This window comes from Homo sapiens, chromosome 1 (genome assembly GCF_000001405.40).
Source record: "Homo sapiens chromosome 1, GRCh38.p14 Primary Assembly".
Taxonomy (NCBI): Eukaryota; Metazoa; Chordata; class Mammalia; order Primates; family Hominidae; genus Homo; species Homo sapiens.
Window position 1 is genome coordinate 187,457,062 of NC_000001.11, and position 26,575 is coordinate 187,483,636.

The 26,575-nt window shown below is 38.1% G+C and overlaps 1 long non-coding RNA gene across 1 annotated transcript in view; it reads left to right on the forward strand.

Moving 5' to 3' along the window:
• Positions 1 to 20,161, forward strand: part of LINC01037 (long intergenic non-protein coding RNA 1037) — a 33,595-nt gene extending 13,434 nt beyond the window's left edge. Inside the window, exons 2-3 of the long non-coding RNA NR_132374.1 lie at positions 13,010 to 13,131; positions 19,959 to 20,161. This is a non-coding gene — a long non-coding RNA (long intergenic non-protein coding RNA 1037). The remainder of the gene's footprint in view (positions 1 to 13,009; positions 13,132 to 19,958) is intronic.
• The last annotated feature ends 6,414 nt before the right edge of the window (positions 20,162 to 26,575 follow it).

A 26,575-nucleotide genomic window follows, 5' to 3' on the forward strand; every position in this document is an offset into this window, starting at 1 on the left:
TACCTCAGCCTATCCTTGACCAAAGCACAGCCATGTCCCTTGTACCATATGTATATTCATATAGATATATATGTGCATGTAAAAAATCAATTTAAGTGTAAATTAAGACGGTAATAGAAAAATAGTTTATTTAAAAGAATTTGATTATTGAACACAAATAATCCCTTTTAATATGGGAGTTCACCTATGCTTTATAAAATGAAAAGGGGTTTAGGAATTTATTGACCTAGGTTCAGGAGAATTATCTTTCTCCTTCCCAGTGCCCAATAGGTTATTTTTTATCAATGGGTGAGTAAAATGTACAGAACTCTATAGAGACATCAGTCAGAAAGATTTTTCAAAAAAGTTCTGTAGTTTTCTACTCAAGATAACATTAAAAAATTATTATACATTACCTAGGCTATTTTTTCAGCTTTTTTCTAGTGTTCTTTCTCTTTGAATAGTTTCAAAGATTAAAGCTAAGCTTGAAGCACCATTTGAGGAGGTAGAACATGGCTTATTAATTATGTCAAGGCCCATAGAAACCACCTGACTGTGGCTTCTTTACATTGAAGTGTCTGGCCTCCTCCTCTACAACCAAGATGATGGGGAGTTGTCAGGGGTTCAACCAGAGAAGCAGAATCAGTCGGAGATATGCATTAAAATATTTTTGCAAAGAATTGGCTTAAACATTTGTGGGAGTTGGAGATGCAAGTTTGAAATTCATAGGGCAGGCTAGAACACTTGGCCATGGTGGTATGGGTGGGGAAAGTCCTGCTCACATTTCTTCTTCTTTGGGAAAACCTTAGCGGTGCTTTTAAGGCCTTGCACCTGATTGAGTAAGGCCCATTCACATTATCAAGAATGGTCTCCCTTAGTTAAAGTCAGTTGATTACGAACTTTAATCACAGCTACAAAAAAAAAAAACCTTACTGCAACAGCTGGATTTGTATGTATTTGATTGATTACTGCAGTCTATAGCTTAGCTATATTTACACATCCAAAGACCATCACATCACAACATGATACACCATTATAGCTTTTCCTTTCTCACTTGGGGCACTGAAAGGCAAATGATCTATCAAGAGACTGAGAAAAACCTCATGCCTTATGTTTTTTCCCATGTTAGTTGTCTTACCATGAGCATTGTCTTACCATGCAACCCTAATTACAATTCCACCAATTCCACTTATTCACAATCAAAAGAAGAATGCTAAAACTTCTGGCACTGGTACATAAAGATTCATATAGGAAATTTTACTTTTCGATTTTATTGGTAATTTGGTAATTGTGTTGATTGAAATACAGTTTGGGGATTGGGATGTTTTATAATCTATGTAGCAATTATTAAGGAGATTGATATAGCTTGGATGTGTCTCCACCTGAAATCTCATCTTGAATTGTAACCCCCATAATCCCCACGTGTCAAGGGAGAGACAAGGTGGAGGTAATTTAACCATGGGGGCAGTTTTCCCCATCCTGTCCTCTTGATAGTGAGTGAATTCTCATGAGATCTGAAGGTTTTATAAGGGCCTCTTTCCCTTCACTAAGCACTTCTTCCTGCCGCCTTGGGAAGAAGATGTCTTGCTTCCCCTTTGCCTTCCGCTATGATTGTAAGTCTCCTGTGGCCTCTCCAGCCATGCTGAACTGTGAATCAATTTAACCTCTATCCTTTATATATCACCCAATCTCAGACAGTTTTTTATAGCAGTATGAAAATGAACTAACACAGAGATGAACTATTTATTTATAAAACATTTTTAAATTATAAAATGTGTGCTTTTTCAGAGGATATTTATATTTATTATAACACTTTTACATGGATAGGGTAGAAGTTAATTAACTATTGTTTTCACCAAATATTCTGTCAAATCATAATATCCTTTACTTTTGAATATAAGGAAATAGTCTATCTATAAAGGAAATAAATGTTTTGATGAAAAGGTATTTTTTGGGAAAAATGGAGTATAAAAATTTTGTAGTGGGACACTGACACTTTAATCACATGCTTGCGATCACCATATATTAAAATGCTTATCCTCATGTCACTGAAAACAAAAGTCAGTTTGAATTAGCCTAGTTAAAAAATGAAACTTGGCTGGGCACAATGGCTTCTATCTGCAATTCTAGCACTTTGGGAGGTTGAGGCAGGGGGATCACTTGAGACTAGAAGTTTGAGACCAGCCTGGGCAACATAGCGAGACCCTGTCTCTATGAAAAGTAAAAACAAATAGTTGGGTGTGGTAGCACATACTTGTAGCTCCAGCTACTTGGGAGGCTGAGATGGGAGGGTGGCTTGAACCCAGGAAGTTGAGGCTATGGCGAGCCATGATCATGCCACTGCATGCCAGCCTGGGTGACAGAGAGAGAACTTGTCTCACACACAAAAAAAGAAAAAAAAAGAAAGAAAAGAATGAAAAAGAAGTGTAAATTAGCAGAGAAAAGTCTCATCATTTTTGTCAGAGCAAAGGTAGCACCAAAACAATGGTAGATTCCTCTAGAAACAGATTTTTCTTCAGAAGCACAGAATACTTGTTTATTCTGTTTTTCACACCATGCCCAATCCCTTTTATTTGTTGCATGGCTACTGCATTAATTAGCAGCTTTGTTTGTTTGTGAATATCTGCAGTAAATTGTAAAGCAATTTGGTCTTTTAAATTTTCCTTCCTAAGATCAATGTCCATACCCAAGGCAAATAATTCAAAATTTTAGATTAGTCTCCTATCTAGAATTAATTGGTTCTTGTTGTCTTTTCCTTCCTGTGCTATTCTATAGCAAAGTGGGAGCATGAAGATACCTAATAACTGTTCAGTGAATATTTGTTGATTGATGACAGAGGCTAGTTAGAAGAGTTTTAATGACTCATTAGTACTTTAAATTAATAAATCATGACAACAATATTTATGATGGCTTAGCTATTTTTAGACTCTGCATTTATATACACCAATAATCTATTGGTGGCTTTGAGTTCATTGCTTTACCTAGATAATGAAATGTAATATTCTAAGTTAGTTAGAGATAATAAACTGCCTCAGTAAATATTCAAAATGTATACGTACATATGTCTTCCTGTATGCTCATCAAAATATTACATTGGTTCAGGAAAATCTTCAGTCCACTCACCCATGACACATGCACATTTGAATATAATTAATTTTTTACCTAGTAAGCATCACTTCCCCTATAACCACCGCAAACCTTTTATCACAACAAAAGAAGGGTCACAAGAGGTGTTTTTCTTTTGAAGGAACTCTTTGTCTCCTAATTGACCAGCAATTTTTGCTTCGTCAGCATTTCCAAGTCCTAGATGGGCTTTCCTTACCTGTTTATAATGTATAAAAACTGAACAGGAAAAAAACTTTTCTTTTTCCCTCAGAAATCATCTAATACTTTTATTATATTGTTTGCACTTTTTTAAAAAGTGGAGTTGTTCCATCTTTTCCATAACCAAAAATCCAGCTAATGATGCTTTAATCACACTTCACTACTTGCAGATGATTGAAGATGGGGTTATTTTATGAGTAAATATCACTGTGAAGAGCCAAATAGTGTTTGAAAATGATTCTGAAGCTGGGCTTTAAATGGCTTTTGGCACTCTGCTGAGAATAGTAATATATATTGCCGAATAATCATAGGCTTGCCCTATTTTCCCTGTGGTTAGTTTCTACAAGGACAGGCAACTGCGAATGGGAGAGCAATTGGGCAGGTCCAGAGGGTAGTAGGGCCGAAAACCATGGACTCCTGATTAAGTAGATGTAATGTATTTCTCCTTTGTGCTTTACGATGGGGTTGAGAAAAATATGGTGCTTTGGAAATAACAATCTTGTGAAATAGGCAAACATTAAACAAGTAATTGTAAAAAAGATAATAGAGCTATAGAACAATTAGGCAGCACTAAAAATGAAAGAATGAAATGTGAAGAGCAGAGTCTAGGTCCTAATCCTAGGAAACCTCAATGTTTAAAGTAACAGAAATCTGCATAGGAGACTGAGAAAGCCACAAGGGAATTTCAGGAAAACAAGGAAAATCATGTCATGGAAATAAAAAAAAAAAAGGAAGACGGTGTTTTGAGAAGAAGTACGTAGGCAACTGAGCCAAATACTGCAAATACTGCTGAAGGTCAGAGAAAATCAAGACTGGACCACCATATCATCTCCTAAACTACTGCTTTTCTGCACCATGTGCTGCCACTGATTGAACTGTGATGTTTGGTGCTGGTGCATTGATATCATTCTGTTTGTCTCCTACAAGTTGCCAGTGTTGAGAGCAATGCCAGTAGAGTGATACGTCATGAGTTCAGATTGAAACACATTGGAGAGTCCCAAATGGCATGCTGCGAGTTGTTCTGCTTTTGTCTGAGAGCCTACTCTGCTGCTGAGTGAATGGGCATGGCTCTGCAGTTCAGTGGTGTTAACCCAGAGATTAAGGGACTCTTAATCTCTGGGTTAGAGGAGCTAGTGGACAAATGCTCTTGCATACCATCCTTCAGGCACACAGTTCTGAAAGGTATTCTCTTTTCTCTTAGAAGGTCGCATCGTGATGACCAGGATACAGTGCTCCTATGTTGACCTTTTTTCCTTTTCTGTTCATTCATTGCAGCTTTCTGAAATCACCTCCCAAATAAGCTTTCTGTAATTGTGCAAGTCTCTCCTTTCAGCAGAACTCTTAAAATTAGTATTGATTGGTAGTTGAAGGGAGATTTAGAGTTTCGAGAGTCTTGTTCATTTATTTGTTTTAAGATGTAAGTATTATAAACATGTATAAAATCTAACCAGAAAGATCCAGGAGTAATGGAAAGAATGAATACAAATGAGATAAAGGGTATAATCAATAGAGTGAGTTATCTCAGAGGTAGATAGTGATGGGATTCACTACATTGCATGATTACCTTCGATGAGAAAAGGGATACACAAATACACATACTCAGAGAGGAAAAAAAAAATGGGTGTGGATAAGTGTATTTTTTGTAGATTTTATGATGGGAAATACAAAGAGTTTCTTTTGGTGGCTTCCATATTTTTCATGAAGTTCATTTATTTATTCAGTGTACACTTACTGAGTGCTCACTACAAGGCAGAGACTATGCTGAGCACTTGGTCTAGCAAACAAGACAGTAACCACTCTCCAGGGAAAACTCATAGTCCTCAAGGAAGTCAGCTGCTGTGTACAGGGTGCAGGCTGATTACATATTAAGTTTAACAACATTAAGAGCAACAGGCTACTAGAACACAAAACAGGAAAAAGAATCTGGATAAATTCGGTAAAACTTTCAGGAGAAAGTGATGTGGAAGCTGAGATCTGCATAACTGGAAGATCTTGAGAGTTGAAGGATAAATGGGTACAGATCTCAAGGAGAGTACAGAACATAAGACCAGAGGCCAGAGAATGCAGAATGTTTTTGAACACAAAGATGATCAATGTTCCTCGATTATTGAAAGTGAGGAACAGTGTCCTGCAAGTTTCAGAGAGAGGAAGATGCCTGATAGTGCAGAATTTAAATTGACATTTAAATTCAATTTTATTCAAAAGGCACTAGGAAAGCACAAGGACTGTTTATATGGGGGAATGGCATAATCAAATCTGCAATTGTTAAAGATTATTCTTGTAGCATTTTTGGAAATTTAGAGAACAGATTAGAAAGTGCAAAGCAGAAGCATAGTAGTTAGGACAGTGTTTTTCTGGTCTGTTGTTAATGCTACCCACAAAAATAACAATAGTTTTTACAACAAACCACATGTAGCACATAGCACACTTGCAGCTAAAACAAAATTTTTATAAAAATGCTTAACAATTTATACAATATTCTCTCCTCTTTGCCATTCTTCTCTTCTATAGTATTCCATTCTACTTTATTTTAATTTTGAAATGCTGATCCATGAAACTGATGTTGTGACACATCATGAGGATTAGGAGATGGTTTTGGTTGTGAGCATAAAAACTATGTTTGGTTTCAACAAGGCAGATGCAGACAGGTGGCCAAATTGAAGATTTATTTGTGACATAGCATCAACAGGACTTGGTGCTAGAATAAATTTGAAGAGGAGGTGGAGACAACAAATATAACCTGCTGATTTTTTTATTAAGCAACTGGGTGGATGACTACATCATTCGGCAATATAAAGGACATCAGGGAGGGAGCTTATTAGAAGGGGGCCAATGACATTATTTCAGTTTGCAGATTGTGGTGCAGTACATAGATAGCATCTTAGTGTACATGTTGAGTAGACAGTTGGGTATTTGCAAATGAGGCTAGAGAACTATGTCAGGAATACAAATATGTGAATTTCCAACCTAATTATGATAATTAAAGTGATGGAGATAGATACTGTAATCTCTGCAACACTATAGAGTGAGAGAAGAGTCTATGACTGACCATTTAATTTTTGCCCATTTGAAGTTTGGACAAAAAAGATTAAGCTGACACATAAGACTAAAAAGTGCCAAACACCAAAGTATGAGAAAAATCATAAGTGTGGTGTCATGGAAACTTAATGAAATCCGTGTTTCAAGGAGGAGAGATCAAGTGATAGTACTGAAAAAGTGTTCATTGGATTTAGTGACACTGAAGTAACTCGTGACCATACAAGGGCAGAAGAAGTGAGAAGTCAGATTTAAGCAGGTCAGGAAGCTGGAAGCAGATGATAAAATACAGACATGGTGTAGGTGTAGACGATTCATTGGAGAGTTTTTTTCTGTGAAGGAAGATAGTGGAAAAAAATTAATGGAATAGAGAAATGTCCTTTATTTAAAAAAAAAATCCTTTTAGAGCTTTAAGAAGACAGAACCTGGACAGAAATCTGCTTATTGTTTCTTTGAGTTTTGTTCAATAGATGCACAACAACCAAAGTAGAAGATTCATTTTGGAAGCTTACATTATGGAAACTGTATAGATTATTCAAGAAAATTAAGAAAATGCAAAAAAGTAAAATTTAGGGAAATTCCACCCATACTTTTACTACTAAAAGATAATCATTAGTTACATTTTCGTTAATGTTCTTCCAGTTTTTCCATGAATACCTTTTAATATAGCCATAATGATATTATTCATATGCATATGTAAAATATTTTATTCACTTAACATTATAACTACTTTTCTATATAATTTTACAATATTTTTAAAAAATTGATTTAGAGAGCACAAGCGTAGTTTTGTGACATGGATATTTTGCATCGTGGTGAAGTCTGTGCTTTTAATGTAACCATCACCCTGATAGTGTACATTGTACCCATTAGGTAATTTCTCATTTCTTACCCTCCTCTAACCCTCCCACCTTCCCAAGTATTCAATGCCTATTCCACTCTCTCTGTCCATGTGTATGCTATTTAGCTCCCACTTATAAGTGAGAACTTGGTATTTGATTTTCTGTTTCTCAGTTATTTTGCTTAAGATAATGGCCTCTAGTTCCATCCATGTTCCTGCAAAAGACATAATTGTAGCATCATTTCACATTTTTTATGGCTGAGTCGTATTCCATGGTGGCTCTGAGATTCTTACTTCTGTTTGGCCTAGTGAATTGTTAAAGCTTTTTACTGTATTTTTTAATTCCCTCAATGAACTTTTTATTTCTAGAAGTTGTCTTTTTAAAAAATATCTATTGCTTTGGCAAGTTTTTGATCATTTTCCTGATTTGATTTTCTGATATCTTTGTATTTTTTTTATTACTCTTGGATCTCATTGAGCTTCTTTAAAATCAATAGTTTGAATTATTTATCTGATATTTCAAAGATTTGATTTTCATTAGGATTTTTTGCTAAAGAGTTAGTGTGATCCTTCAGGGGTGTCACAACACTCTGTTTTTTCATACTTCCAGAATTGTTTCACTGGTTCCTTCTCATAGGGAGAAATTATTTCCCCTTCTTATTTTTGAGTTTTTTATTTGGATGGAACTTTTTTCTTCCCTTGAGGATGTGACTATAATGTATGTTCCATAAGGTCACTTGGCTTTGGTTCTGAGTGCTTTCTGTGGTAAAGACTCCGTATGTAGAGCCTTGGTTGTAGATATCCTTAATGTGGTTACTTTCTCAAATGCTGGTTGTAGTAGCAATGTACTGGGGCATGTGAGCAGGCTCATGGCCTCCTGCAGGGTCAGAATGGTGGAGGTCTCCAGAAGCTTCTTATCTTGTTCCCATGCATTGTACACTTGTGGCAGCAGATTTAGTATTGGGTTGTATAGTTTAACCTCCAAGCCAGTAGGTGGTTCTTTCATGTAAGAACCAAATGTGGTGGTAGTGGAAGGATTGATGCTTGTTCTTTGTTTACACGGAGAAGCTCTTTGTTGGCTCAGGCAATGGGTTGGTCTGCAGAATGCTCAGTGGCCTGGGCTCCCACTCAGCTCCACAGAAGGGTATGAGGCTAGTTGGAGCTGGACTGCACAAGCTCACCCTTGGATCCTCCACTGGCAAGCACAAGCACCAGCCCTGACAGAGGTGCTTGGGAAGCTCATGGTGAAATGTGTTGGGATATCCTCAGGGTATGGGGGTGGGGTTGCCCCAGCTCTATTTCCTGGGTAGGCAGGAACATGACCCATTTCTCTGTCACACCCTTATCCTGGTACTCAGGACACACAGTTCTGTCAGACACTCCTGTCTATATCCGGGCTGCAATGCTGCCAAGGGCCATAAAAGACACCTGCCTTGTAAGCTCATTGTCAAAATGGCTGTGGTACAGAACCTCCCCCCTCAGCTCCAGACACAAAACCCTCTAGCTCTCCACTACAGGAATACTGGTGCTTTGTGTAGAGAGGCGACAGGGCCCCACCTTTCACATAACTCTGGGCCTAGTGTGAACACTGCCAGTGGGGATGCAGCTACCCCTAGTCACCTCAGAAAGGCTGTCCTCCAGCATGCTTATGCCAACTTCCTATGGGAGTGGCCACAGCTGTGTTTGTAGCAGTGAGCAGAGGGAGAGTAGAAGTACGCCTCTCTATGCCTGGGCCTGAGCACAGAGGCTGCTTGGCCATTGGAATGGAACTACAGTCCTCCCTTGCAGAGCCAACCACAGCACCTGTATCTCTGCTGGAAGCAGGACCATCATTTACAGCTCACAAACGGGGAACACCTGGGCACTGAAAAATACATGATCTGGTTTTCTTTGTCCCAAGAGGTGCTCCCTTCATGAACTGCACTCTCCCTTTTTTTAGGAGCAGCACTCCCTCCCCAGGGACAGACTCCCTCCCCAGGGGATAGACCCCTGGAAATTCTGCAGCTTCCTTAGGTCCAGCCAGTCCTTTGCTGCTGACATAATCTGAGCAGGCACTAGGGAATGTCTGCAGGGGTTCCCATGATATGGAGACACAAGGGCTGAGATTCCCTGGGTAAGACACAGTTATCTGATAGCTTCACCACAAGTATGGTGCCTGGTCACCACTCCTCAAGTTAGAGAGAGGGTGAATAACCTGCAGGGAGTTGGTAGTCTGATAATACCCTCAAAAAGTCACCAATTTGCTGTCTATACCAGCCTATACCAGTGTTTGGGCTCACAAAGGTAGAGGAGCTGTCTGACAGTTAAGATATCAGAAGTCAGCCACAGGGATTAGGGGAGCCAAAACACTCCCACCTATCTTTCTGATGAAATACCAGTCTCTTGGGGTTCCCAGCTGATTTCTGCCAGCCTCTTGCTTTTCTCTTTTTCTGTGCCCCAGCTTCTTCCTGTGAGTTCTCCACTAGGTTCCAACACTTTCCCCTTGATATTCTATTTGAGTTATGATTACAAGTAAGTAATCTTGGTTCCTCTTATGACAACTGGTGTCTGGTCTCTAGTCAGCCTTCTTGAACTAGAACTTGATGTCACAATGTTTACAAAATAATTTTACTTTGTATAATATTTGGAATGAAATATACTATAAAATATTTAACTATTTTTTCTTCTTTCCATCTAGGTTTTCTGCATGCTCTTTTTAATATCATTTGAATGTCATTCTCATTCCTGAATACATCTAGATTCACATGCTCAAAATCTAAAAGATTCATAAGGATAAACCCTGGAAAGACTCTCTCCCTCTCGGATACCAGCCGTGACCTACATGCTGTTTAAATTAGTCTCTAGTCTTCAGCCCTCACCAGTGCACAAGTGAGCTGGCAACATCTCTCACCCTTATTCCTCCTCCTGTGGCATGATCCAGGCTTTCCTAAATCAGGGCACTGGAAAGATTGCCTTCAGGAGCCACTAGTGTTGATCTCAACTCTATACTTTAATGCTCTACTATTGCTCTTGTTGCTATAGCTAACGTTGCTAAAGGGTAACCTTGAGGAGACCTTCGTTTTAGCTGTTACGTCAGCATCATGCCTGTTACCATGGGTATTCTAGTGGGTGGTGTTGCTGCTGTAGTGTAACTGCCCAGTGGGTTCTTCTTGTCTGCTCTCCAGATACAGTCAATTTATCAAGGCAGGGGAATTGCAATAAACTCTTTAATTTGCACAAAGGCAGCTGAACAGGAGACCAGAGTTTTATTGTCAGTCAGATTAGTCTCCCAGAGAATTTGAGGGCCGGGATTTTTCCAAGGTGGTTTGTGGGGAGGGGTTTGGGCGGTTAGGCAATGTGTGCTTGCTGCTGATTTGTTGGAGGCATAACCATGTGGGAAATGGTCCTCTTGCATGCTGAGTCACGTCTCTGTGGGGCCACAGGAGGAGTTGGTGGGTCCGGGCGGAGCCATTGGTGTCCAACATACAAAAAAACATGAAAAGATATCTCAAAAGGCTAATTTTAGGTTCCACAATGGTGATGTTATCTGCAGGAATAATTGGGGAAGTTGCATATCTTGTGAACACTTGTATATAATGGCTGGCAACTGTTTATGTCTACACTTAGCAGAATTCAGGCTTCTCCATCCACCTAGCCTGGTGGTGTCTCATTAACTTTACAAAGGTGGTTGAGTTTTGGGGAAGGGCTATTATCATTTAAACTATAAACTAAATGGCTCCCAAAGTTATCTTGGCCTAAGCCCAGGAATAATTAAAGGCAGCTTGAAGGCCAAAGGAAAGATGGGGTTTAGCCAGATCAGATCTTCACTGCCATTATTTTGCCATTATTGTAATTTTTGCAAAGGCAGTTACACTAGCAAGGACTATATCTTAAGTGACCATGGAACATCATTTGAAATGACACACCTTTGAGCCAAAGTCGATGTTATCAATGTTCATACTGGGCAAACAGGTATCAACTGAGCAAGCTGGCACCTATGGTCAACTTAATTGTAGCAGGGGCTTTCTGTGCACCAACATTAGATTCATTAGATTTTATTTCCTTGATTTCTTACAGCCTGCTTTCTTAAAGACTTCAGAAGAAGTTCATCTGAGTGAATGGGGAGAAAATAGGATACTATTAAGGCTAAATCCATCCAAGCCATATTTTAATTGATACAAAACCTGAACACCTATGGTACACGCTGAGTGGTTGGGAATTAGTGTTTGTTTTCACTTTTGCCAGAGTCTTAATTATAGTTCTATGGTGTTTGGGGTTGCCAATTGTTCTAAATCTCCTTTGTCTTGTCTACTAAGAAGCCCATTAAATTTGTGTAAGGTGAAACTGGAGGCTGCAAAGAATAGCCAAAGGAGCAGCTTCCAAGGGCCTAAGATTGAAGCTTCTTTCATGTTCTGTCAAAGAAATTCTACACTTAAGGGAAGGTGTGGTGCCAGACCTTTCCTTTATAGCTTTAGCTATATGTTGTAATTGTCTTTTTTCTGATTTAATTTTATATTTAGGGATCATAGGAGGAATTTGATTTTGGAGGGCCTTTGATTTTATTAACATTTTATGATATATTAAGGGTGTGGAAAGAAAAATTTTTGGTTCCCCAAATCACTAAGCTAAAGGAAGAAATCAAGCTGGGAAGTGCTTAGGGCAAACCTGCCTCCCATTTTTTTCTTTTTCTTTTTTTTCTTTTTTTGAGATGGAGTCTTGCTCTGTCACTCAGGCTGGAGTGCAGTGGCATGATCTCGACTCACTGCAACCTCTGCTTCCTGGGTTCAGGCAATTCTCCTGCCTCAACCTCCCGAATAGCCAGGATTACAGGTGCCAACCACCATGCCCAGCTAATTTTTTGTATTTTTAGTAGAGACGGGGTTTCACCATGTTGGCCAGGATGGTCTTGAACTCCTGACCTCGTGATCTGCCCACCTCGGCCTCCCAGAGTGCTGGGATTACAGTTGTGAGCCTCCCCACCTGGCCTCCTGCCTCCCATTCTAAAGTCATCCCTCTGATCACTGAGATAAATGCATATCTGATTGCCTCCTTTGGAAAAGCTAAACAGAAACTCAAAAGAATGCAACCATTTGTCTCTCACCTGGAAGCCCCCTCCCTGCTTCAAGTTGTCCTGCCTTTCTGGAGAGAACCAATGTACGTCTTACATATTTTGCTTGATGTCTCACATCTTCCTAAAAAGTATAAAACCAAGCTATGGTCTGACCACCTTGGAAACATGTCCTCAGGACCTCCCGAGGCTGTGTCATGGGCACGTGTCAGCGACCTTGGCAAAATAGACATTCTAAATTAACTGAGAGCTGTTTTGGATATTCGAAGTTCACATTTTGGTACCCATGAAGGTATTCTGAGTGGAGGTTCCCCTGACCTTTGGCAAATCTCCTATCAGTGTTTGGTACCAGCCTGAGCTATCTTTATGGCTCAAACCAATAGGACAATTCATGATCTCCCAAAATGTGATTGTGATCTAAAGTTTATTTTGCTGTACAACTCCTTTTTTAAGGAGTTTTAGTTGCTTCCAAGACAAAGAAGGCAAGTTTTTCCTGCTTCCATGATGCTGGAAGGCAGGTAACTCCTTTAAGGAGTTTGAGCTAGCGTTCAGCAGGGAAAATGAGCTTGAGTTTTTTCCTGCTTCTAGTATGGTAGAGAGCAGTCTTCAACCTGATACCCATCCCTAGGTAAGTAACTGAATTGGGGTTTGTCTTGCTAAAGTTAAGTTTAACAACCAGCTGGTCTTAATTTCTCCTTACCATTAGAGCACTCCATAATTGTGTGAGTTGTGCAATTGCTTTGCTTAACTTTGGTTTGTTTCTGTTTTTGTTATTGTTTCAGTTTTTTTTTCCATTGGGTTTGACCAACTCTATATTCGACTTGAACAAATCCGAAGGAAAGCTTCCAATTATGGGGAACAAGTCCTCTGAAGTGGCTAAATTCCCACACACACAAAAGAAAAGGTAGGGTGGTGGGGGGGAGAAAAACAGCCAGCAAAAGGAAAAAAAAAAAAGGAAAGATTTTTGATTTTGACTACTTAAGGGGCTTTATTTACATAACAAGGCCACCTATTTGGTAGCCAGGCCAAACTGAAAGAGCAACGGCTGTCGCCCCATGCTGCAGTTCCATAGCTAAGGTTCTGCTTTCTTTTTTTCACCACAACAGTCTGGGTTTGGTTCCTAAATCAAGCCCTTTCTGGTTTGATACTTGGTACTTCTGAAATAGCAGTAATTTGTCCCAGCTGAAATATGGTAATGAGATTTAAAAAGTTTTTTTTAAAGGACCTCAATGGTTAAAAGTCAGCTTAATTAAAAGCCAACATACAAGATGTGTGTGTGTGTGTGTGTGTGTGTGTGTGTGTGTGTGCACGCGTGCGGGCGCATGTGTTTATTTAAAAGGCTTTCATGTTTTTTTTGTTTTGTTTTCCTAAGAATTGGTTAGAACAATGAAATTTTCTTAAATGGTTGATTGACTTAATAAATTATAAGATATTTTAATTTTTTTAACCCAAAGTTTAACTTGTATTGCATCTCGCCATTTTCAGTTTTCTCTCCCCTTTTAAAAGGCACGAAATGGTTACTCTCTCCTTCACCTGTGCTTTGAGTAGCCCCACCTTTCTGGACGGAACCAATGTACATCCTATATATATTGATTGATGTCTCATGTCTGCCTAAAATGTATAAAACCAAGCCATGCCCAACCACGTTGGGCATATGTCGTCAGGACCTCCTAAGGCTGTGTCATGGGCACATGTCCTCAACCTTGGCAAAATCAACTTTCTAAATTAACTGAGACCTGTCTCAGATATTCGGGTTCACAAGAGTAACAAAAATTAACTTGATAACATATGACATAACTTGATAACATTATGACAGAACATAATATTTGAAGGCTCTACCTGACCTGATTTAGACATCTGAAAACCACTGCTTGAAAGACCTGGATCAATTAAATTCAAATATTTTAAGTATCTAAAAAGTTAAATTGGAAACTGAAAAGACATGCTTGTCTTATGCTTCACAAAGATGCCTAAGCACTGGATTTTTGAATGTGGAATTATTCTACATAGTACTCCTGAGCTCTCAACATTAGGCAGCCTACCACGTCGAAATGGTATAATCAATCCATAGATGAACACTCCTAAAGAAAACGAATGTTCCCAAATTCCACAAAGATCGATGATGTCTCTGAAAGGATGGCATATACTTTGTGACAGAGTAAGATTTCTTCTCTGTCTTGGGAGCCAACGACTGCAGTCACATTGCTATTCAAGTAGTGGTAGTTAATGATTTAATCTTTATTAATAGGAGAAAAGATTCCATTTGTTTAATATGCAGGTTATTTGTGATGCTAAATGCAATGTAATTGATGTAATTTAAAAGTTTCAGAGATAATGTCATGATTAATTCATCTGTAAACAATCTGGCATCTTTCATTTTATTGAGGCAGGCAAATTTTTTAACTAGCTGAAATGTGAGTAAGAACATTTATGACAACAATTATCATTTAAAAATACAATGCAGTATGAAAGATGAATGTCCTACAGGGCATTGCACATTTGCTGTAAGGTCTTAAGAGCTGTAATTTGGCATGACTCATTGTCTCTGTATGAAAGAAACACGAGGGCAGCATAACTAGCGTTGTGTCTTTGGACTGAATAAGGTTTTAGAATTTCATGAAGGAGATCACTGAGTATATTTCAAGGGTCAATTTCTTGAGAGTTTTGCTGCCCCTATGCAACTATTCATTCATTTAATCATTTATTCATCCATTCAATGAATATCATGGAGTGCCTTTTAAAGGACAAGTGCTTCGGAAGAACTGGGGATATGTATATATAGATTGTTTCTGCCACCAAAGAACACCTAAAGTATTAAAGAGTATAGTTTAAGTAAGATTCAATTAATATCCCATGAAATACATAAAATGGATACCATGGGAGCAATAAAAGAAGGCATTTAGCCCAGGCTTGGGAGACAGGCTGATCAGAAGCTGCTGGAGGAATTGACATGTGAAAACTGTATCTTATTAAAGGATGCAGATAAAGTCACTGAAAAGTTATCCAGGCAGAGAAGATGACATACAAATGCAAGAGGTTTAAAAACAAAGCAAAACAAAACAATATGTGTTATTTGTGAGCCGTACCACATGTTTGGTGATGTTGGAGAGCAATGTGCAAGGCAAGAAATGTTGCAGAGCAAGTTCGGGGGTAGAAAGATTCTAGAATGTGGAGGGTCATGTGGACTCTATTATATAATTTAGAATTTATTCTATAGATTATATAGACCCATGAGAGCACTATTTGTTTAGGTAGATTACTTTAGGGCTTTGAAAGGGATGAGACTAGAGGTGCAGAGAAACTATTTAGTATCGTGATGATGTAATCTGGGGAAAAAATGATACAGGCATAATTACCACTGGGCTATGGCCGTAATTTGGGAGTGAATAAGAAAATTGAGCCTAAATTTGCAGTTTCAAAAGAATAGAGATTAAAGGCAGAATAAATAGGGGGATTTCAACATATAGTGAAGTAAGGGTTTAAGTAGAGGGCACAGAAAGAAGAGCCCATAAAGATGACAAAAAAAAAATGATGAGAAAAACACTCCAACAATTAAGAGAGTGTTATAAAATCTAAGGAACAAGGAACTAACAAAGTTCTAATGATGTGGTAAAAATAAGAAAGATAGCTTTAACTATTAGATTATCCATCAATAACTTTGGAAAAACAGTTTCGGTGGAATACTATGGGTAGAATACAAATTTCTGTGGGTAGTGTAGTGGATAGAATTGGGAGTTGAAGACATGGAGATGCAGTATTGATAGTTGTGTCCCTGAGAGCACGTAGCCTGGACGCTGGATGTCCTGGATCCTCAGCTTGCCACTGGCCATGGCCAATGTTGTAGTGAGATATATTAAAAAGCAGCCAAATGGTTACGCATTATTATTGGCTAAAACTTTTACCCCAAACTCCAATGTATTCATCTACTGAAATAAACCAAATTGATGATGCAACTCCTCAAACGCAGACCTGCCTGTAAAAAGAGTTGGGTCAGTGAATTGTGGTGAGAAAGTGGGTATTAACTTCAGGAGTTGCACCTGTGATGAAAGAATAAGTGTGGAATAAAGTCATATATCAACACATTAAGTCCAAGTGTGGAATAAAGTTATATATCAACAGATTAAGACCAAGCAGGTGGGCTTTCTTTTTGTGGAAGGTGGGTTAGGAATGTTTATTTTTTAAATGTAGTGTTTTCTAAGCTATTTACAAATGTTAACTATTTAAGCGTTTTTTTTTAATTTAATTTGATGAGGTAGAAATTATTGTTGTAGACGAGTAAATAGAAACACAGAAAGAGTAAGTAAATTGCCCAAAGTCACTCACACATATTTGAGTAGAAGTGTCAGGATTTGAACTCAGGCAGTCTGGCTTCAGAGTCTCTGCTCTTCCATGCTGTAAATACACTATATTGTATAGGTTTTTTTAAATATGTATTTATTAATAAGGACATAGAGTAGTGAATTAAAGGCATCACTTGGAATCTCCTAAATCCAGTTTTGCTTAATAATAATTAAAGAGATCCTTTAATTAAGAACTTTAGGCCAGGTGCAGTGTCTCATGCCTGTAATCCCAGTACTTTGGGAGGCCACGGTGGGAGGATCACTTCAGGTCAGGAGTTCAAGACTAGCCTGGCTAACATGGTGAAACCTCATCTCTACTAAAAACGCAAAAATTAACTGGGTGTAGTGGAGCACGCCTGTAATCCCAGCTACTCTACTCAGGAGGCTGAGGCAGGAGAATTGCTTGAACCCAGGAGGCAGAGGTTGCAGTGAGCCTAGATTGTGCCACTGCACTCCAGCCTGGGCGACAGGGCGAGACTCCATCTCAAAAAAAAAAAAAAAAAAAGAACTTTAGACACACAATCACAGTTTAATTATAAAAAACTAAACTCACATCATATAATGAGTTCCTATATCAAGTTATCTATAATGTCAAAAATAACACACAGGGGCATTAAACTATTTATTCAAACCTAGCACTGAGTTTATAAAATAGATTACCTTCGAGAATAAGAAATCCAGGACTGGAAGAGAATGCAAACATTTTGGAATGAGCATTTAGAAAAATGAGACAATGTGATGGGGATTTAACTAGAGATTAGTATAAGGCATGTTAATCAGCTACGAAGTCTGACTGAGTCTGACCAGCATACATTGGCAGTGGACCAACTGGCCTGGCTTTATGACTCGACTTTCACTAGCAACAGTCAATAGAGCAGGAAGATATGTGCATATGTATCCATGTGTCTGTGTGTCAGGGGTTGAGGGAGCAAATGATCCTTTCTACAATCAGGGTTGCTGAAGGGAAAGGCAGTAAGGCAGATGGATAAGAGAGCAACTGGAATTTTAGGAATATATATTTACATAGTTTTGTACAGTTCAGTAATAATCCAGATAAATTGCTTAGGCCAGATGGTTGGTTTATCAAGCCATGCAGTGTGCCTTTTTGTATGCAAATGAAATGTCTACATATCAAGAGAGCCTTGGGCAGAATCCAAAATGGAGCAGCCAATTTGCCCTAAAAGGTGATAAATTTAGGACCCAGAGAGGAGAATACTGGAGGTTGACAATATTGTTTCCTAATATGTCCTAGTGATTTAATTTTAATAAATTGATGTGAACTTGCTGGTCATCTAATTGTTCTCTAATAGATGTATTGTAGAGACTTTTTTTTTTTGCATAAGTATGGCGCAGAGGAGGCTAATAAAACTAAAGTTTTCTGCAATTTTAGGTTGATTCAAACCATTTCAATTTCAATTTCTCAAAAGCTCATCATTGGGAGACAATTAAAGAGCCCCTAAATGATTATGAAATTGCAAATTATCACAATAGCCTCAAAGAAATGCCTATCAGATCAAAGTTGGGGAAGAAAGCACAGTTGAGTAGAATGAGAGAGAATCCTGAAGATAATGATTAAGCCAATGACGGCTACTTCACCTGAAATCTCTGCCACCCTCAATAAATGTGTGCTTTATCAAGTAATTCTTTCTCCTTTGACTAGGGTGGGATAGGGGAAAGGTGGCTCTCAAGTTGCTTCAAAAGAAGAGCTGGCAATTCAAATATTTTCTTGATAATTTAGGATTGGGAAGTCACGTTGCTGAGTTTTCTATGATTAGAAACTAAAGGAAAATTTGAAAGAGAGATAAAGTATAAAACAGCATAAATTATGGCTAAACAAAGGATTCCTTCTGGAAAAGGGAAGAGGATAGGGCAGAAATTCCATGAGTGACAGATCAAGCAGCCCCTGAAGTTGTTTTACAAAAAGAAATTAGTGATCTTGGTGAAGTGGGTTATCTAATCATTTTGGTAAACTCTTCGGTTCCCTCCCTTCTGAGCCCTTGCCACAAAAACTAAACATATGACCCAAGCCTCACCAAATATATTACTTCATTTGCCCGGCAACAATGATTGGTCCAAGGCATAAGCATGTGACCCAAGCAGGACCAATCACATTTTGTCCCCTGGGGTTGTTATTTGGTCATTGATAGGAGGAAATACTTTTACCCCTGAGGATTGCTAGACTGAGATGCTGGTAGTAATAGTAATCTTCCCTAGTCACTGGAGGTAGCCTGTGTGCAGTAGGAGAGAAAGAGATCTGTCCCACGGAAAGAGAAACAAAAGTCAAAATGCGAAACAAATGGAGAGGGGGTCTTCATTCCTATCCAAGAAGCTCTGACTGTGTAGCCTCAATTCTGTAAGCTACACTTGAAATCAGGTATTCTGACTTGGTTAATGACATCTTTCAGGTCCCAGTTTTAAGTCCTATACTCATCTAAACAAAATTAGCCACCCAAAAATCATGAGTCACTCCCCACCTCGCCAGTCACCCAAGAGTGTGTTCTTTGTAAAAAGAGCATCACTAAGTAAAATGGGAGCTTAAGAAATCAAATCATAGAAGGCTGTGGTCAGAAAGAAGAATTTCTGAATTGAAGAGCTTGATCACGCAGCAATTCTGAGAGATGGTGAGATCTAACAGAAGCAATGAGGTTGTTTAGATACTATCAATGCATACTTTCTGGGGTCATGAGAATGATATCTCAGAGACACGGGTAGAAAATGTCTTGTTGTTTCATTTAGAAAATCATTCAGAGGAAAAGGAAATTAGAGGTTAATAGGACCTAGCAATGAGGATTTTTAGACAATAGTATAGGAAATCAGAAGGGAAAAGCTGTTGAACCATAATGGAGGAGCAAAATACCAGATGAAGCAGCGATACGGTAATGAAATCTACAAAACACATTGAGTGTCAGGTACAGGCAGAACATTAGATTATTTCTATTTTAAATTTTATAGTGCAAGTGAAAAGTTGTTTGTTTTTGTTTTTCATTTTTGCTATTTGGGGTAACAAAGAGAACATTTATGAAGAAGAGAAAGACACTCCATTAGGAACAGAGTCTGCAGAAATAGTACAATTTATGTCCAGAGAGAACTTTGCTTGTGAGGGCTGCCTACTTGATGCGAATGTTGTTTGATGGCTATCACTTTGATTTCCACAGGAACCATAGAGATATTCCAAGACCAACGGTGTGGCTAAGTATAAAGTAATGGGGTCTCTAAATTAATGTCCACTTGGTGGCAGTAGACTGTGGTTTTTATTAATAACACTAGTCTTTAAATATATTTGTGGTATATTTAATTACCACTGAAATCTTAAGATTTTGCTACGCAAACTGTTATTTCCAATATGTACATATCTTAGAGAATCATTTATTGTAATTGTTTTCTTTTCCAGATGAGTCTATGCCCAGGACCACCAGATAATTGAGTCCTGTACAAAAGCTTCTGACTAAACAATGTGCTCTGGCTCAGGACTATACAGAGAAAAGACACAGTTTTTAAATTGATCGTTCAAAAGGAAACATATTTATGATATTTGCTCCATGATATGTATCTCTCATCTGTTAGCTCAGGCAGAATTAAAATGCTAGACAATAATGTTCCATGCCACTATGCTTACTCGGGTCTCTCACATTGGTGTACTTCTGGCACAAAGTCACATGACATTTGAGTAATAGCTGTCTCCCATGTGGACTTTACACCACATGATGTCAGGGGCCATTCATTCTATTCCAATTACATAAATCATAGATTAGGATAGGTCTTGGCAAGGACTGGGTACTATATGAATATTTTTGAGTAAATGTATGAGCACAAAATATTTTATGTGGTTATGTATCTAGTAAAACATGCAAGGCTAACATATCCTCTTTCATTAGACTTCAAGAAAACTCCAGCGAATATTTATCAGAAAAAGAAAACCAGGAAAAATGAAAGAAGTAATAAAATTAAAATCTCGTACAGACCAAAAATAAATGATACAGAGCATTTAGGTAGTCAGAAGCTGTGCTAACTGGTTTCCAAACAAGGTAAAGAACAGCCTGCTAGGAACACACTGTATCTCAAAGGGCAAAACAATAACGTCAAACCTTTCTCCTCTGCATTGCAAATACCATTTGCATTTCAATGACACTACACTCTAAAGAATATGCTCTACTAAGTTTGTTAGATAAGCCGCATGTGCTGTGTTTCAAATCACATAGTAATAAAAGTGTTCCAGTTCTTTGATAGATTTACGTAATTCCCTAACTGGACTACCATTGATTCCCCTTAAGAAAGGTATATAGACTCTCTATGAAAAATAGAGTTTCTTAAATCCAGCTTCCTATGTGGAAAGTATTATTACTTTATAGGAAAATAATTTCTAGCTGTTTTCCTGTTGTTCCCAAGAGTCTTTCCAATTTCTTTATATATCTGTCTTAGAATGTTCAATTTTCTCAAGCCCCTTAAAAAATCATTCTTGCTTTTCTACTCATTTCCACTTGTTAAACTTGACCCAGTTTTCTCTTGGTTTCATATTTTACCATTCAACTTTTATTCCACTCTCTACCCTCTCCAACTCCCCTAAATAAATTGTTTTTTCAGGTCATAATACCCCTATTTGTTTTTCCTACACAACGGGTAAGCTCAGATGGAACATTATCGAATGGTGAAAAGCATAAGTTTGTCTTAGGACACAAAGTTTCTAACAAAGATTGATTCTTCTCATATGAAATAACTGCTTCTTTATACTTTTCATGGCATTTTAGAATACAGGGTAGGATTGCAGTCCCTGAAATGTACCAATTCTGAATTAAACTAATTAATTAATTAATTTTCTTAGCACCCCACAGAGATTGTGCCATCACTTTTTTGTATCATGCTGCCCCTGATTTTCCTCCTAGTGGGCCCGAAACATCCATCTTTCCACGAGTGTGGTCAGGAGATTAGGACTGTTATAAATGAAGTGCAAAGAGATTTACTATTCCAAGCAGAATTTTGCAGTCAGTAAGATGTTAAAGATTATCTAAAGAATATCAAGTCAAATCCAGAAGTCTCAGCTGAAGGTGTTTCTTCTTTAACATACAGATTTTATACTGCCCATCAATGAGGGTAGGCCTTGGGACAGATTTATTCTAAGAAATGAGGATAGAGTAGAGAAAGAAAAAGTCTGAAGCTCTTCTTATGGGGCTGCAGAGCTGGGAGACTTTCAGAAATATGAGAAAGGAAATAAGAGAGGCAGATGACACATGAGTTTTCATGTTTTCTCTCCAAACAGATAGGCAGTCTGGAAAAGCTAAGGATGTGGGCTTTTGACTAGAATAATGTTTGGGACTCTGAAAGGGGTTTGCCTTGGATGACTGCCCTGCACAGCTTCAAGATGGCCACATCGGGGGAAACACAGTGGCACAGTGTGGTGACAGAGGGCTGATGTTCAGTATCTGAGTCATTCTTCATGTGTGGCATGAATAGAGCTATTTGTTCTAAGGAGGGACTTTGGAGGTGGCTAAATGGAGTTGGATAGTCTGCCATGTGGCCAGTTTTGTTGGTGATTCTGCAGATGAACTACCTGCACCAGGAGTCTGAGGGAGGATGTTACAGGAATGCAGAGAGGTCTACAGTACAAGTAGGAGTTAAAATGAGGTCAACTCTCAGCCTGGCATGGTGACTTGGGCCTGTAATCCCAGAATTTTGGGAGTCTGAGGTGGGAGGATTGCTTGAGCTCAGGAGTTTGAGACCAGCCTGGGCAACATAGCCAAACCATCTCTACAAAAAATAAAAAAATTATGTGAGTGTGGTGGTGAGCACCTGTAGATCCAGCTACTTGGGAGGCTGAAGTGGGAGGAGTGCTTGAGCCTGGGAGGCCAAGGCTGCAGTGAGCCATGATTGCATCACTGCAGTCCAGCCTGAGTGACAGAGCAAAACCCTGTCTCAAAAAAAAAAAAAAAAAATGAGGTCAACTCAGCCACTGATTACTGCTAGATGCTGACCAAGTTAGAGAGGACAACCCAGTGGATTAAACCTTTCTCCAAATTAAGCCACATTGCTAGCATGTCAGTGATGATCAAGAGGTCAAAGTAGTGAGTGAGGGCTAAAGAAGTGAGAGCACACTTAATATCAGAAATATTTCAGTCCATGGGCAAAAGGATATTCTTACCATGGGTAAGAGGAGGAAGTTTGCAGAAATCTGAAACACTGAAACAATTCTCTTAAAGACACTGGGAAAGGCTTCAGTGTCCAAACTGTTTTAAACCAAATGAGTCTGTTTTTAATTTTTTCTCCAACTGGAGAAAATTGAAAATTGTTTTGGTTGGGGCCAAGGGTGAAGGAGTCTTGAAGAACATTGGATCAGATATACCAAATGACCAATTTGATAGATTGATTGATTGACTAATTTTTTTTTAAACTTTTAAGTTACTATGGGAGTAAATTCATTACTTTGCTACAAATGTTGTGGGAAAGTGGACAAGTCAATGCACTACTGTGAATACTTATTCACTAATTCACGTTTCCATTTGGAAAAATAAAGGAGTTGGGCTGCATAATTCTTAAGGTCTTCTTTAGTTGAGAGAACCTATATGTATTTATAGTCTGTCCTTCTTATGTAGAGAACACGAATGTCTAATTATTTACATTTATTTTTATGATAGAATTAAAACGATGTATTAAGCTGGCCTTTTTTCAGACATACTTGCAACCAGAGTCATCAATTTTGAAGACAGCAACCAAGCCAAGCAATGTGAGGTTACAGCTATGAAATAGAACAGAGATGTCTAGACTATAGACACAGCCTGCCGTTTTGTGCTGATTGGTAAAGTGTTCCAGCCAACTGGAAGCAAATATTTCTCAGAAGCAGTTTCCTGCTCTCATCCTCTCCTCGCCATGCCCACTGTGCCCAACATGGCTCCAGCTGGGTCACAGAAGACTTTGTCCTGGAATACAGCATTTCCCTATTTAAATCTCTAACTTTGTATGTACTCTTTTCAATAAAAGCATATTTTTCATTACCATTCTGACCATACTCCCTTCTCTGCTGGCTCCACAGCTAAGGTTTCTGCACCTGTTCCATAACTTCTGGGATCTGTCTCTGTTGCTGCACGTATGCATTCCATAAGCATTAATAGATCCATTCACTCTTCTGAAATCTGGGCAGCTTAAATCATATTACATCTAACGTATTTTTACTAGAGTCAGTTCTACCCCCCGACTCTTGAGTGCACACACAGGCACTTCTCTGTAAGTTCCTTGAGGTCAGAAATAGTCCCCTAGTCAGCCTTCTGCCTTCTGTAGTTCCTGGTCCATCAAGGTGCAGAGTACATATTCCACAGATAAATAGATAACTCTCATTCAATGCTCTGATCTTTCCTTTATCTTGTTTCCCTGGATATTCCTCTTTCACGGCTCTTTTCTATTTAATTTACCCACATACTCCTCTAATTCCATTCACTTACTTTCAACCAATTCTTTTCATTGCTTATAAACAGATGTTTAGACAGTTTGTAGACATGATCAGTAATATGAGTCAACATTTTATCACTGCAGGATGGTGTTAGAAAATTACATCTTAAATTACTTTGTGACCAAGCTTTTATAAAATTTGCCCTTAGATAGCTATCCAGAGATCCATATTGCTTTCTTGTTCAAAGTAGTAAAACTTAATAATTTACCATATTTATAACTATGATATGCTGTAATTTTACATTTTAAATAGGAAAAGGCAGGAAGATGCACAAATCTTGAATGTGCAAAATCTTCCTTCCATAACTGAACCAGGAATAGAACATAAGTCAGTTTTATTCCTCACTTGGGAAAGCTAATATCACTTCCTCTGTATCCACTTTTGTTATATTCAGTAGAATAAATAATAAGCAAGTGACTCTATTTGTAAAGGAGAATGGTCCAGAAAACCTTGAATAGAAATTTCAAATAACATGGTAGTTACAAGCTGAGTGACTTATTTGTCATAGAATCAATAAAGCTATGTGTGAGAGGTGATGGCAGAAAAACTAGACAAAAATTGTATAATATTGCAATGGAAGTACGCCTGGAAATGCTAAGAAATGAATTTGAAACCTATTTCATGGCTTGAATGGAGTCTGTGTTCTGAATGATAAGACGATCCATTCGGGATTTTCCATCTGAATGATCTTTTGTAACTTAAGCCACAAGAACATCATGTGAAACTGCCCAGTGGAGATTATGCTGTGCTCTATGTGTATTCCGAAGCAGACCACAGGCTTGGAATTAGTGAAGTAATTGATGAATATAAAACTTCAGCATGACACATAATTTCATTTTCAAAGGCTGAAACAAAACATTAGCTTTTCAGAGATGTGCTGCTATCTTAACCGGCATTCTTTCTTGTCCCATGGTGCACGGTGCACGGCGCAGATTGAGAAGCGATTATTTTCCTTCAAATTAAATGACTTCCTGAAGCTGTTTTCTAAAAGATTCTGTTTTCTGCCAAAGTCATTTTGTGAATGGCCACTTTAGGAATGAGCATCGTGATGGTGTCCCAGATCCTGTAGACAGCTGATTTTCTTTCCAATTTATTTAGAGCAATAGTTTTGTATTCAACCCCTGATGTCAAATCAAAATTTCTACATGTGAAGAAGATTCAACAAATTTGTAAAGAGTAAAGGCCCTTGAAAATTTTTATAACTAGTCAGAAATGGACAAAGTTCGCTACTTTGTATTGTAACTTTTCAAACTTCTTAGCTTTTCAAATGCAAATAGGCAAACCTGTCTCTATCCACATTGTCTCTTTATGTTGTTTAAGGAAGAAGTCTGACAGCATTCTCTACCTTTCTACTATATATATATATATATATATATATATACACATTCAAACACATAGATGTATGTATACCCACACACATAGATGTCACTCTTTGTATATATTATGCATATAAACACACACATGCATGACACATACATATAGGTGTATGTATATCTGTCACTCTGTATATTATATAAACACACACATGCACACACACATGCATACTGGTGTATGTATATGTCACTCTGTGTGTGTGTGTGTGTGTGTGTGTGTGTATAGGCACATATATAATGTTTTCTGAGAGCTGGAAAACTACAGTAGTCAAAATATTTAGAAATAATAAAGGACAATATAACAAAGACATTACTGAATATTCTATCCTTTTACAGTCAATTAGAAATTAGTTTTGCTAATTCAGTGTGTAACACTTGAATATATAAATGTCTTCATTCTATTTTATATTATTCTTTAATATAGTAACAAAATGCAGATTCTTAAACCACATTTTTAAACATATGGGAAAAATAACATTTTTATATGAAATTATTGACAAATTTTCAAGAACAAAAATCTCTATAATGTGTGAGGGAAACGTTACATTACAGGTCTCATTAAAGATGCTTAGCTTAAATGATGGTTCTGACAAGAGTATGTGACAAATTAAAGTTAGCCATGAGTATGTGAGGCCAATTCCAGTAATGCTAGGTATAATTCATGTTTAGTTCCTTTATTAATGCAATTAATCACATCTCTAAAATCAAGAAGAAAACCCATCAAACCACTTGTAAATTGGAAATGGATTTTGTAAATTTCAATATCCATTCCTTATTTTTTTAAAAAAGTTGGTTAAATAGAACTAAAAAGACATTTCTTTAACTTGACAAGCCAACAGTTAGATCTTTCCCTCCATAGAAAAAACTTCTTGACTATATTCCATCAGTTGCACATCCTGTGGGGACTAACTACTGAAACCCTCCCAAACCCCTCCATCTCCACTGCTGCTGCTTAGTTTGCTTAGTTTTGCTTTTTTTTTTTTTTTGAAATGGAGTCTTGCTCTGTTGCCCAGGCTGGAGTGCAGTGGCGCAGTCTCGCCTCAATGCAACCTCCATCTCCCGGGTTGGTTCAAGCCATTCTCCTGCCTCAGCCTCCTGAGTAGCTAGGATTACAGGCACATGCCACCAAGACTGGCTAATTTTTGTATTTTCAGTAGAGACGGAGTTTCACCATGCTGCCCAGGCTGGACTCAAACTCCT